Source organism: Homo sapiens, chromosome 1 (genome assembly GCF_000001405.40).
Source record: "Homo sapiens chromosome 1, GRCh38.p14 Primary Assembly".
Lineage (NCBI taxonomy): Eukaryota > Metazoa > Chordata > Mammalia > Primates > Hominidae > Homo > Homo sapiens.
The window spans coordinates 154,779,382-154,794,108 of NC_000001.11; the positions used below are offsets into that span (position 1 = coordinate 154,779,382).

General features: G+C 48.0%; 1 protein-coding gene across 5 annotated transcripts in view, besides 1 other annotated feature; it reads right to left on the reverse strand.

Moving 5' to 3' along the window:
• Positions 1–14,727, reverse strand: part of KCNN3 (potassium calcium-activated channel subfamily N member 3) — a 172,827-nt gene that overhangs the window by 81,927 nt on the left and 76,173 nt on the right. The gene's annotated exons all lie outside the window — the stretch shown is intronic.
• Positions 12,084–12,393: an enhancer, noted in NCBI's record as "active region_1783". NCBI's record gives its function as "activates an Ori minimal core promoter by ATAC-STARR-seq in GM12878 lymphoblastoid cells {active_cell/tissue: GM12878}" and the evidence as "EXISTENCE:reporter gene assay evidence [ECO:0000049][PMID:35858748]".

Sequence of the window (14,727 nt, forward strand, 5' to 3'; positions counted from 1 at the left end):
ACCTTCCCACTCCACTCAGTTATATTTGCTGGCCAGTCCTTCTCAAGTAACTGGGTGACTGGATGGGGAGGAGATCAGGGTCAAGGGCCATTCCTTGATGGCCATTCCCCCATCCCCACTCTCCCCATGGACACATGATTTGAGATATCAAAGAATAACTCAGAGCATTTAAAAAGTTATTTTGCAAGCAGTTTAGTTGTTTTGCATACAAAGTGTTTTCTCAGATGTGAGGAAGTCAGCTGGTAGACTGAATCAGGGAACAAGGGCACAACAGAATTAATGGGCAGGGGGGCCGCTGGAGAAAAACAGCAGGGAGTCTGGGAGCAGTGGACCTTGTTGGCAAATGCTGAGGGTAAATGGATTCGCTGGCAGCTAACAAAGAGGTCAGCATGGCATTCCATCCTTGGACGGCCAGCGAGGGATAGTACAGAAAGCACTTTCAGTTATTCAGGGATTCTTCAGAAGCCCTTGGCTTTCAGCTGTGGGTGTGTCACAGGCCCTCTCCCTTGTCACCTGCACCTCAGGGAGTCCAGGTCTGACCTTTCCCTGGTTAGAGTGTCTCGCCAAGCAAAGATGTCATCACCAGCTCACCACAAGGCCAACGCTGAAGGCCATCTGGACACCTCAGGACAGGGCCGTTCAGCTGCAATCTCTGCAGGGCCTGGGACAGGCTGCCTTGACAAGGAGACAAGGACACTACCCAGTGCCTCCAGCAGCCACATGGCACAGCCCGAGCTTCAGACTTGCGAGGCCTCCCCACATTTCCTGCAAAGGGGTAGGCATGCAGGGAAGCTTGCCTTTTTTCTTTTTTTCTTTTTTTTTTTTTTTTTTTTTTTTTAGGATAAGTTTAGAGTCGATTCATTGGATTCACTCGTTTTTCCCCCCATTCTATTTTGAAAGACTTGAGACCTTTCTGATTTTTTATTTAAGCAAAATCTGTCATTAAAATGTTCTCAGCTATCAGGGAGGAGAGCGTATTCCTGCTTAGACACTTTCTGACCAACCTGAAAAACTTTCACTCTTGCACAACTGTGAATTTCTCTAAATTAAAGGAGAGAAAATGGAAAAAGCCTTTTTGTGTACTGTTCTCTCTCTGTGGGGAGAAGAACTTCCGGGAAAATTTCCATCATTTAAAAAAACGACACAGAAACAAAGCAAGAAGAAAAAATTACAGATTTTCTTAAGATATATTATTTATATATATGTTTTATATTTTATATATATATATATACATATATAAATTTAAACACCCTGGAGCATATATTCTGCATGTACACCATTACTACGGGGGTTACCATGGAAGCAACATCAAAAATCCTGTAGTACCTAATTAGGTTTCCCTGAGGACAGGAGCTGATTGCCAGTGACGAAATGAACTTCTGGGTTTGCAGCAATGGTTGGTAAAATTACCAGTCAGCAAATGCTCCATGGAACTAGAGGAAGAAAGGGAGGCGGGTGGGGGTTGGGAAGCAAAGGTGGAAAAATGGTGGCTCTAAAAGAGGCCAGCCAGTGAACAGGCCTTGTCAGGGAAGTCTATGATTCTACCATAAACAAGATGCTTAGGGCGTTGGGGTCCACGCTACCCCGCTCTGTGTCTAAGAAGAAATTGTCCTCATCTGAAACCATCCCACTCCCTGGGCCATGTGTGATGTCCCACAGTGGCTCTTTGGTCCGGCCAGGATAGGCTTCTCCTGAGCGCTTCGCCAGAGCTCACTTTTGGTCTCTTGCAGTGTGTAATGACCACTCATGGGGGTTATGGAGTCTGAAGTTTGTTTGGGACTAACAGAGACCAGTGGTGATCATAAATCCTTTCCCCTGTCCTCAGTTCTCAGAGAAAGAAAGCCAAGTTTCGGCATTTGAGCGAGCCACTATTTTTTACTCACGTAGCAGGAATTTCTTGATCCCTGAGCACGTCACCACTAGGGATAGAGCATCCCACCTCTGGCCATCTGTGTGTGGCAAGTCTCTGGACCTCAGATTCCTCAGTGTAATGTGAAGACTTGGATGCAATTTGTGGTTTTCCATTTTCTCTGGGCTGTGGGGCCATTTCTTTCATAAGATTTTTCATGTACGCCCAACATGGGAAACAGACAAATTCAGAGCTGTTGTAGTTGAAAGGGTAGAGAAGAACATTCAAAGATCAACTCACTCACCTCCTCCTCCAGCCTAGGTCTCTGTAGTGGACCCCATGCTCTCCATAGAACCCTTTGACTGGAAATCCTTTGGATGGACCAGCTGGTCTCTAGTTGTAAGGAGAGACAAGGTGTGATGCTGGAAATCAAGTGTTTGGGGTCTGGTTCAAGAGGTGCTCGATGCACAGGCAGGGAGCTTTGCCCCGATCAGCTTATTCACTCATTCATTCATTGAGCATGAGTTGAGCCCCCATTATGTGACAGTCCTTGGTAAGCTCTAGGGATATAGCAAGACAAGTAGACAAGGCCCCTGTCCCCACAGAGCTTACATTTCAGGGGAGGAAAACAGATATTAAACAGGTAAACCATTTAATTTTAGAGAGTGATGCCTGCCAGGAAGAGAATAAGACAGGGCAAAGGAAATGAGAGAAGTCCCAGACAGCCAGGACAGGGAGGGCTCTCTATGGAAGGGACCTCTGAATCCAAAGTGAGCCTTGCAAAGGTATGCATTACAGAGGGGACAGCATGTGCAAAAACCCCAAGGCAGGATGGAGCTTAGAGAGTTGGAGAGATAAAAGAAAGAAGACCAATGTGAGAAAGAAGTGAGGGATGATACCAGGTGAGACCAAGAAGGTAGCAGGACCCAGATCATTGGGACCTTGGATGTCACAGAAGGAGCTTCCTCAAAGGACAGGAGACCACAGACCCACTCCCACCAGGGCCATGTGCACCATGTCACCACTTTCTGAAAACACACTGCCCACAGGTTAAATATGCACCACAGCTCGGGCCTCCGAAACAAAATATCATAGACTGGGTAACTCAAAAAACAGAAATGTATTTTTTCACAGTTCTGGAGGCTGGAAGTCTGAGATCAGGGTGCCAACACGGTCAGGCTCTCTTCCCGGCTTGCAGGTGGCTGCCATCTCACTGTGTCCTCACATGGCAGAGAAAGGGAGAGGGATCTCTCTTTTTCTCTTCTCCTAGAGCTGCAGTCCTATAGGACTAGACCTCATCCTTATGACCTTATTTAAACTTAATTACCTCCCACAGACCCTTTCTCCAAGGCAGTTACATTGGAGGTTAGGGCCTCAACAAATGCGTTTTGGGGAGACACAATTCAGTTCATAGCTATTCCCTTTTGTGTCAAAATTACCCAAAAGCCAGACTGTGGGCCGAGCCAGGTGATTCTGCACATACCATTTCATTGCCATCTCATAATGTCCCTGTAAGGGAGTCATACATCCATTTAGCAGATGAAGAAACCCAAACCAAGACAGGTTCAATCAATTGCCTGGGGCTTGCAGCATTCTGTGTCTTCCAAGTCCCACGCCCTTTCACCTGCCAGCCTGCTAAGCAGGCACTCTATTTGGGGGCTGGCCAGTTTGGGCTTTACTTTGTCTTCTAAAGAAAACTCGGCTGGGCGCGGAGGCTCACGCCTGTAATCCCAGCGCTTTGGCAGGCCGAGGCGGGCGGATCATGAGGTCAGGAGATTGAGAACATCCTGGCTAACACGGTGAAACCCCATCTCTACTAAAAATACAAAAAAACTAGCCGGGCGTGGTGGTGGGCGCCTGTAGTCCCAGCTACTCGGGAGGCTGAGGCAGGAGAATGGCCTGAACCCGGGAGGCAGAGCTTGCAGTGAGTCGAGATCGCACCACTGTACTCCAGCCTGGGTGACAGAACGAGACTCCATCTCAAAAAAAAAAAAAGAAAAAAGAAAAGAAAGAAAACTCAAGCCCACCCTTTAAATGCTCATTCTCAGAAGAATCTTTGCTGACCAGAGAATCAATATATGATTAAAATAAACTGGGTTCTATCCCTGGTGTCCACACCACCTGGGAAACCCACATCGTTATCTGTAATCTAGACTGGGCTATGTTTGTGGAACTAAGACCACGGCTTTCATTTCCACAGATACAATATCCATTTATCATCTTTCCCTTCCTCCTCTTCCCGCCAGTGAACAGGCCTCTATGGAGACCTGGTGATGGGGTCCCTAGCGAGGAAGAGACCATCTTAGTTTAGGAGCCCACTTATGCACCCCAGCATGTTTGCTAATGAAGAAGATTCCTCTGGACAGGCTTGGGGTGGGGTCAGAGGAGACCAACACAGGGCTTAATATATGTGCCCTAGAAATGAACAGGAACACTGGAGATGGGGGATTGTGAGCTGTGGGACTGGAAGGAGAGGGGAGCTGGCTAAGCAGCACCTTGGGCCAGTCCCATGAGAGGGGGAGGCCGGAGCCCACTGAGGACTTGACCACCCATGAGACAGGGACAGTGCTGAGACTGTAAGATCAGGAGCATGTGGCGTTCAGCGCTGTCTTATCTGTTGTGCCACCACCACCTCACCCCTTCCCCTTGCTCCAGATCCATGGAAATGTCAGCTAACCTAGAGGCCTTGGTCATGGGTCCCTCGAGGAGCAACAGGAACAGGAAGGGTGCCTAAAGCGGTTACTAAGTACAGGATGGAGGTGGAGAATTCAGCAGAAAGAGTTTGGCATCAGATGAGCTGTCAAGAGAGAAATGGAAGTTTCCAAGCCCCCAGAGACCAGTGGAAAGACACCGGGTCCCCTCCTGTGTGGGGTGGGAGTTTGTAACCAATTATATTTGAAGCAGTAAGGCCAAGTGACCCCGGCCAATCCTTGGGTTGCTGTGGCCACACCTTGGTCTCATCATGTGCTCCACCCCAGCCATCTTTACATTGCTGCCAGAGCAAATGTTCTAAAATACAAACCAAATCATGTCACCTCCCCTTCTAGAACCTTTCCGTGGCAACCCAGAGTGTCCACCCTCCTAGCTGCACTTGGCCAAAAGGGCCTTTTCCCACCTGGCACCAGCTGGCCCCTCTATCCCCATCACCTGCCACACCCGGTGTCTCATCCCAGCTAAACCAAGTTACCAGTAACCCCTAAGCTTGCGCCCTTCCATCTTCTGTACAAGCACTCCCTCTTCTCAGCTTCTTCACCAGAGACCTCCAGATCCAGCGTCCCACCCTTCCACAGGCCTAAGCTGGTCCCTTCTGACTCCCAGGTGGGGCTGGGTGCCTTCCTCCAGTATTCCCCAGGCCCTGTGCCCCCTGCTTGTCACAGAGCCAATCCCCAAATGGCAGCTGGAGAAGGATGGCCAGACAGTTGGGGAGTGCTAGCCCCCGTTTCAGGGGGCGGAGGGAGCAGGGCGGCGGTCTCCATTAACAATGGTAACAGCAGGGGCCATGTATTGCAGCCTCACTGTGCACCAGGTCCTGTGCTGTGTGCCTTACAGGCACCATCTCATTTAGTCCTTAACAGGATTTTGAGACAGGTATTCTTATTTCTATTTTACAGACAGGGAAACTGAGGCTCGGAGAGGCTAAATAATTTACTACAGGTCATACAGTTAATAAGGGGCAGACCTAGGCTCTACAGCCAGGGCAGGCAGCTCTCTTGACTACTGTGTGTGCTGCCCCCAGGCTGTGCTAGGAAGGCTTGTTGGGCTGAGCCCCAGTGTTTGCCTATCCCAGGCCAGGCCAATAGGTGTTTCTGGTTCTTTGTGTGCCTTGGCAGATCCAGGAGTCAAAGGTTTCTGTGCATCTGCTAAGTCTGGGGTAAGAGGTATCGTTTTCTCAACAGGAAGTTTCTGATAAGTTTCTTTCCTTTTGACACATGAAAGGATCCTGCTGAATGTTTGGGGGTAGGGGAGGAACAGCATCATCACTGGGGCTGCTGGGCCCTGATTGGTTCTAAGTCACCTGTTTACCACTAAGGGAGAAATTCTTTAACCCTGGCTTAGGGGATATTTTTAGCAACTAAAAATAAATAGGTTTTTGGATCTTTGAACAGCCTAGGGAGCTGAAGAACTGAGGTCAGGACCAGGTGGTGGTGGTGGGCAGGGAGTGTTTGTTTTTTCCCCAACTGACTAAAAGGCCCTTCACCTCCTTCCCAAGGGCCAGCTGCACTGTCACCCCTTCAGGGGGAGCTTTTCCTGATCTCCCAGTGGCGGGGGCAGCACTTCAAACAGCAACAAGCCATTTGGTGAGTCCAACTTGTTGGCTGGGGCCTAAGCACTTTTCTTTTTCTTTTTTTTTTTTTTTTTTTTTTTTTTTGAGACAAGAGTCTCACTCTGTCTTCCAGGCTAGAGTACAGTGGCACGATTATGGCTCACTACAACCTCTGCCTCCTGGGTTCAAGCAATTATCCTGCCTCAGCCTCCCGAGTAGCTGGGATTAGTACCCAGCTACCACGAGTAGCTGTGCACCACCACACCCGGCTAATTTTTGTATTTTTAGTAGAGGTGGGGTTTTGCGATGTTGGCCAGGCTGGTCTCAAACTCCTAGCCTCATATGATCAGCCATCCTCGGCCTTCCAAAGTGCTGGGATTACAGGCATGAGCCACCACACCTGGCCTCCTAAGCACTTTTCTTTACATCAACTCTTTGAGTCTCACAATAGCCCCATAAGAAAAGTGAACATCCCCCAGACCTCATAGCAACTAAGTGGTGGAGACAGGATTTAAACCAAGAGGCCACACTCTCATCTATTAAGTTTCCATTCTGGCCGAAACCTCCTTCTTGATCGTCCATCTGAGCCGCATTCCTGTCCACCTGCTTGTCAGCACCCTCACTAAAGCAGGGGTCCTTGAGGACAGACATCTCCTTGGTCACTGTCCTCCACAGTGCCAGGCACAGCGCCCAGGGCCACCCAAATGAATACATAAAGGGTTTAAGGTGTCAAAACTATATCAATGTGACTGTAAAGAAATATTTTAATTGTTCACCATTTTTATAATCCTCCTAAGGCAAAAGAGTCTTTTGTAACATATGCACAAGATAGAAAAAGAAATCAAAGAATATTTTAAAAGAACTGCTTATTATAATTTTTTAAAAAACCCTGGAAACAACCTGAATACACATCAATAGGGAAACAGCTGAATATATTATGGTACTCATACTGGGGAACATTATGTAGCTGTTTTTAAAAATGAAGTGGATCTATATGTATTGACTTAGAAAATGTTCATGATATATTGCTAAGTAAAAAGAGAAACTTACAGCATAATGGGTATAGTGTGATTCCTCTTTTTTAAAAAAGCAAACACCAACACATAAAAACAAAAATGCCCATATATGTGTATGCATGTTGGTACATTTTTGTATAAGCACACACAAAAGGTGCATTAATCACCTCTGGCTAAACACTAAATTGTTAACACTGGTACTACTGGGGACGCAGGGAGATGGGAATCAGGGAACCTATTGATTTTTTTCCTTTTGATAATGAGAACACACCTCTGTGTTAAAAGAAGCCTATATTGCTTTTGTAATTTAAAAAAACCCAATAAAGTATTTTTTAAAAGAGCTGTCATGGAGAAAGCCACTTGTGGCGCCTAATGGTGATGTTTTAAGCATGGCCATTCTTGGAGGAAAAATAATTGCCCAGGTCCTTTCCTGCCCTGTAATTTTCTGTGTAGAGCTTCAAATCCCCTGGGAGCCCCCAGGATTTTATGAATACAGCCCTGCTAGAAGTGTTCATAGCTGAGCTCCTCTCACAAGTCTCCCCCTCCAAGGCCAGCCTCATTACCAGATCCACAGCCCCTCTAACTAAGCCACCTTGTGAAAAATACTTCCAGGGCATGAAGATTAAACAAGGCACTTATTTCAAGGCCACCTCTCCATGTGAATTCCTATCGTAGGCACTGAAAGCCGCGTTAGTCAGTGGCCCACTCCGCTCCCCCACTGAGGGCAGAGGCCTAGGCTCCCTGTGGGAAGTGGTGGCCCTCCCCACGGTTGAGAAAGGAAACCTGCTCCACCATTCCCTCCATTTGGGAGGGAGGGACCAGGGCCAGGGCCAGGGCCAGGGCCAGGGCATGCGGCAGCCACCATCACCACAGCGACTGCTGCTGGTGAGAGGTCACTGCGGATCTGGCCTCAGCGTGCCAGGTACAATGCCAAGACCCGTGGGGTACAGCGGAGATCAGGATGCAAGTTCCTGATGAACCAGGAGCTTAGAACTGCGTGTCTGCTAGAGATGCGCAGAAGCAAACAAAGATATGGCTATGGAGAGGGCCAGTTTGGTGACTGGGGGCACTATTTGCAATTCGGGGTCTGTGCTGCTGTGTGTTCAATGCCCACAGGTACTGCCCTGGATCCAGACACCTGGAGCTCTGGCTCTGGGTCCCCCACACTAGAGGGCCCTGCTTGACCCCTCCTTAAGTCACACCACACCCCGTGGAGTCAGAAGCCCACAGGGCCAAGAGGCCTTGTCTGCCTCCACCTTCTAAACCCCCGTTTGGATATCCAGACGCCCAGAGTCCCCTGTCCAAAAAGGCCCCAGGCCTGCTTCCAGGGCCCACGCTGCCACTTTCTCTGTCCTCCCATAGGCTGACGCTGGCTGCTGGTAGGTACATCCCTAAGCCTGAGAAGCAGCCAAGGGGTAGCTGGAGGAGGGGGCAGGATGAAGTTTAGATCTGAGGGCTGTGGCATCCACAGTGCCCTCAGGGTCTTAGATTGGGTCAGGAGGGAGGCAAGAGAGGGGCATGCTAGGGTCTGGGGCCTCAGGGTCTAGGCGCCTCCACTGGAGGCTGGCCCAGGCCCTGAAGGAAACAGGGATGGATGGGCCTGTCGGTCACCCTTTCTGACTGTCTGGGATATGAATGACAGGAGCAGCAGCAGCTGCATTTTCTAGTTAGTTCTGAGGTCAGGCAAACAGGCCCCTGACACTGCCTCTCAGATGGGTTGTCCCACCTTCACACACCTCTGTAGCAGGCACAGGTATACAGGCTTGCTCTGAGGCGCCTTCTGCCGAGTGCTGGCCATGTTGGAAGCACCATACAAAGTGGTTGAGTGGCCAAATGTTTGAAAAATGCTTCTCAGAGATTCATCAGGCTCATTAGCATATTAAAGCTTCTGAGACTTCTAAAGAAAAGAAAACAAGTCGGCTTTGAAATGCAGTTTCTCAAACTTATTTGACCTTGACTCTTGTTTTGAAGTAACAGCTATTAATATTTCAAGGAACACTGGGAAATGCAGGGTGTGAGGCATTCAGTGTAACAGACAATGGAGGGTTCATTCCTTCAAGCATCCATGGTTCATTTTCATGAAGATTACCATAGTCTTCCTGAGAGGCACCAAATACTCCCCTGCCTTCCTGAACTGACTCCACGGAGCACAGCCCACGCCGCCAAACCCGTCAGCATCCACTCGCATCACCCCACAGCCTCCTGTGAGCCAGCCACCTTCACGTGCTTTTTAGTTATTTTATTTAACAAATACTTAACACAGCGTTTACTAGGTTCCGGGTGCTAGTCTCAATGACTTACACATACTAGCTTCTTTACTCCTCATAGCAGCCCTTTTGTGGTGGGCCTTATTATTGAAAGATGAGGAAACTGAGGCATGAAGAGATTAAGTGACATGCCCAAGGTCACACAGCTGGTAAGTGGTTTACTCAGACCCAGGCAGTCTGGCCCCAGAGTCCACGTACACTCATTTCTTATTGCTGCTGTAACACATTACTTAAAACAACACAGATTTATTATATTACAGCTCCGGAGGCCAGATGTGTGGAATCAGTTTCACTAGACTAACGTGGAGGTTGTCCGCAGGGCTGGCTCCTTCCCGAAGATCAGGCGGGGGAATCCGTTTCCTTGCTTTTCCAGCTTCCAGAGAGGGCCTGCCTTCCCTGCCTCGTAGCCTCTTCTCCCACCACTCCAGCCTCCTGCTTCACCATCACTCGTCCTGCTTCCTCTTCGGTAGCTTCCTCTGCCTCCCTTTTCACAAAGACACTTGTGATTACGTTTAGATCCCACCTGGATAACCCAGGATACTCTCCTCCATCTCAAGATCCTTCATTTAACCACATCCTGCAAAGTCCCTTTTGCCAGGATATCCAGGGATTAGGAGCTGGATATTTTGGCAGGGTGGTGGTCGGTGGGGCAGGGGGGGGCATTATGATTCAGCCTACCACATTATGCTTTTGACCATTGTGCTAAATCTAGTTTAATCTTCCTAACAATCCTAGGAAGACGTTGTCATTATTTCTATTTTACAGATTTGAAGACTAGGGCTCCAAGACGTCAGCTGAACTGCCAAGTGTCACCCAGGTAGTAAATGGCACAGCTGGGACAGGAACCAAGAAGTGAATGACTTGCTCCTTCACACCTGCCCTGCCATCGGAGAGGCGGCACTCAGGACAGGCAGGGCCTTGGGGGATTCCGAAGGAGGTGCTGCTTTTGTTACTCTCTAGACTGAGCCCTCCTGACATCCTAAGCCCACTGAAAACCTGATGCGAGCTATGAATTTGCTTTCCCTAGAACAAGAAGCATTTACAGAAACACACCATGTATTGCAGCTAGTTTCTGGGAGTTCACGGGCCCCAGGTTAGGAATGCTTGCTTTTTTTGTTTGTTTGTTTGTTTGTTTGTTTGTTTTGAGAGACAGAGTCTCGCTCTGTCGCCCAGGCTGGAGGAGTGCAGTGGTGCGATCTTGGCTCACTGCAACCTCTGCCTCCTGGGTTCAAGCAATTCTCCTGCCTCAGCTTCCCAAGTGGCTGGGACTACAGGCATGCACTACAATGCCCAGCTAATTTTTTGCATTTTTTAGTAGAGAAATGAGGATTCGCTACATATATGGCAACATATATGTTGGCCAGGCTGGTCTCGAACTCCTGATCTCAGGTGATCTGCCCGCCTCGGCCTCCCAAAGTGCTGGGATTACAGGCGTGAGCCACCATGCCCAGCCAAGAACACTTGCTTTTAAAAGCAGAGTATCAAAGGGATGTTTGCACACCCATGTTCATTGCAGCATTACAGATACTCCTTAACTTATGATGGGTCACGTCCTGATGAGCCCGTTGTAAATTGAAAATATTGTAAGTAGAAAATGCATTTAATACACCTAACCTACCGAATGTCACAGCTTAACCTAGCCTGCCTTGTGTGCTCAGAACACTTACATTAGCCTACATTTGAGCAAAATCATCTATCACAAAGCCTATTTTATAATAAAGCATTGAATATCTCATGTGATTTACTGAACACTGTAAACGGTAGAGTACTGTATCAGTTGCTGACCCTCGTGATCACAGGGCTGACCGGGGCTCTCTGCCGCTGCCCAACATCACAAGAGAATATCATGCCGCATACCACTAGCCCAGGAAAAGATCAAAATTCAAAATTCAAAGTACAGTTCCTGCTGAATGTGTGTTGCTTTCACACCATCATAAAGTCGACAAATCTTAAGTCAAATCATCGTTAAATCTGGGACTATCTCTCTCTGTAGGATTCGGTACTATCTGCAGTTTTAGACATCCACCAGGGATCTTGGAACACATCCCCCATGTATATACTGTACAGAATTTCAGGTTTGCAGGAGACAAGAGTTCTGGAGATTGTTTGCACATCAATATGAGTAAACATAACATCACTGAACTATATACTTAAAAATGGTTAGGATGAGGCCAAGTGTGGTGGCTCACGCCTGTAATCCCAGCACTTTGGGAGGCCGAGGTGAGTGGATCACCTGAGGTCAGGAGTTCGAGACCAGCCTGGCCAACATGGTAAAACCCCATCTCTACTAAAAATACAAAAATTAGCTGGGCATGGTGGTGCATGTCTGTAATCCCAGCTACTAGGGAGGCTGAGGCAGGAGAATCACTTGAACCTGGGAGGCAGAGGTTGCAGCGAGTCAAGATCGCACCACCGCACTCCAGCCTGGGTGACAGAGTGAGACTCCATCTCAAAAAAAAAAAAAAAAAACAAGTTAGGATGGTATTTTATATTACGTGTATCATACCACTTTTTTTTTTTTTTTCTCAAAAAGACTGCTCTAAACTGAGAGCTCTTGCAGAGCAAAGACCACATCAGGTACATTCTTGCGGCTGGTGCTGGGGAGGAGCTCAACAGATGTCTGCCCGCGACAGCTCAGCAGGTGGGATGGGTGATCGGCTGCCTCCCGCTGGCTGTGGCTAACACTTCTAGAAGCCCTGCACACCGGAGAGTAAGCAACCAGCCCAAGCCTGGCTAAAACCAAAAACAATAAAAAGCCTCGAGAACTGAGAATGTGGAGGAGGAAGACAGGACAAAAATAAATCCAGTCACTGCTGTGGTCAAGAAGAGGTGGCTTTCACCCATTCCTCAAAGGAACCTCGAAAGGGAACGAAAGGCCCCGATGTTAATTTTAGAAATAGCTTGAAGCCCTGTCCAACTTGAGAGTGACTCTGTGCCTCTTCCACAGCTTAAAGTACCTGGACTTTTTGACAGTTGTGCTCCTCTGCTGCCAAATGAATGGGGGTTGTAATCCACTTGAGGATCTTTTAAACTTCACTGCTGTTTGTATGAATTTGGAAGGAAAAACCAAACCTCCTCTGAGAGCTGACTCACGTCCCTTTGGGCATTGTGCCAGGCCCTCAGAAATCACCTCATCTGCCAACCCATCTATAATACCCTGTCTGTAAAAGCATCCTTCTGCTTCCACTGGCCAGGAAGATCGCAAAGGAAACCATGTAATTGCAAGAAAAGCCAAGTCAGAGAGGCAGGTGACACGTGTTTTATGACCAATGAGGGGCAAAGCCATAGAAAGTTCAGAACTGAGAGTGGGTGGGAGCATAAATCCTGTTGCCATTGTGGTAAAAATGGGTGGCACTCACTGTGGGAACCTTGAAAGGGAACAGAGTGCCACGATGCTGCTTTGCAGAGGGTCAGGTGGTCACACAGCATCCTGGGGTGGTTTATTCCCTCCGGGTCTCCCCCGTCTGCCATGTTCCAACAACCATCCCAGATCCTCCTCCCTCTAATTGGGATCATATTAAATAGCCTTTCCACCAGTGACAGAAGGAGGTGGGCTCTTAGTGGAGCCCACTCTGTAAATATAGAGTAACAACAGGAATCAGAATGTTCCACTGGAAACAGGTGGGACTTGTCCTCCCCATACAGACTATAGAAGATGTTTACAGGACTTTCTGCAACCATCCTCATCAAGTATAATCCCAGAAAAGTAACAGCAAGCTGATGGGTTTATTCAGGTAATATCCAGGAGACATATTTCTCTTTAAAAGGAAAAGGAATTTGCATGTTTTGTTATGGCCATCCCTTATTCCAGTTTAACTGGTCCCTAAGAGGCTCTAACTACAGCAAGAGGGATTTTGGTTAGAGAGATTGTCAAACCTTGAAGAAGGGTAGAGACGGAAAGAGAGAGAATTTGAGGGAAGATTCCTCCCAGGGAAATGTTTTCAAAATGAAATCTGGACCTATTCATGTGGGAGAGAATGCCCACCCCAGAAGCAGGGGATTGACCTATATGGGCTCCGAAGTTCTTTTCATGCTGTTTCCATTGAGCTGCCTTCCCTTGCCTGTGATGCAGGCAGAAGTTTGATTTTTTTTCTATCCCTGAAGGTGTTGGCAAAACAGAAAGTTTCTCTCCTTCAGCCAGGTCTCAGGCAACTTCTAGTGTGTATTTCCCCACCCTTTTCATTTCCCAGCCAGAGAAAGGGGAGTTCCTTTAGTTGTGGTCCTCGGTTCTGTACCAAGAGCAGGAAGCTCCTAACCCCAAACCATCGCACTCAGGAATATTCTCACCACAAACACCTAGAAGCCAATCTTTCCACTCCAAATGGAGATGGACAGGTCAATCAGAAAGAACGGGCTATTGAAAAGCTGTAATAAATCATGTGCCAAGTGAGGTGTCAGACATGCAAACCAGGGAATACAAAGTCAGAGAGTTGTAAATGAAGTAGTGGGTTGAAGAGCTAGCAGTGGCCTGGTTCTCTCTGCCCACAGCAAAGGCCCAGAGCCAGCTTGTGCACCACCCCTCCTCTTGGCCAGGAAGGTACCCAAATGTCTGTTCCTTGGTAAGAGGCTGACCCTGAAAAGTTTACACCTGGAGTTTCATCCCTGTATCTTAAAGCAAATGGGGTGATGGGGAGGGATGTCGGGGGCATGGGAGGGTGGCAGACCCCAATGCAGCCTAGAGACAAAGCCACCAGGCTTGGGAATTAACAGACTCCATTTAAAAGTTATAAACCACCTAAAAGGATTACCATTAATGACAGTGATTAATGCAAACTGCAAAGTAGCAATAAATCATTAATTATACTTTCAATTTTTAAAAACTCCAACAAATCAATATTAAATCTTACAGAACTTATTCACTATGCTGGGGACTGTTACCCAACTGTTGTGGGGGGAAAGGCAGAAATAGAACACAAAAAGCCTGCAGTGAAATACCTCTAAGAATGGCTGGAGTAGTTAACTTAGCTTGACTTGACCTCGTTAACGTAGTTGACTAAGCTGACTTAGTCAAGGAATACTAAAGACCTGCAGTTGGAAACCCGACCTGCCCCAGATCTCCAAAGTCAGTGTGGAGGCGGATTCATTCCAGGGTTTGCACATAATCTGGGTGGGAGAGCATCCGTCATTCCATCACACTGGATCCTTTCCCCCATGCATGCCTTTGTTCCTCACTGATGCATCCAGCCCTCGAATGTGCACAGCACTGTCCCAGGGCTAGAGGTTCTGCCTGGTGGTTTCCTGTTGTGCGTAGAATGTAGACAAATCCTCTTCCCAGGACCACCAAGGCTGTTGTGCTCATCTCCTTCTTGACACACAATCTTTCCGAATGCT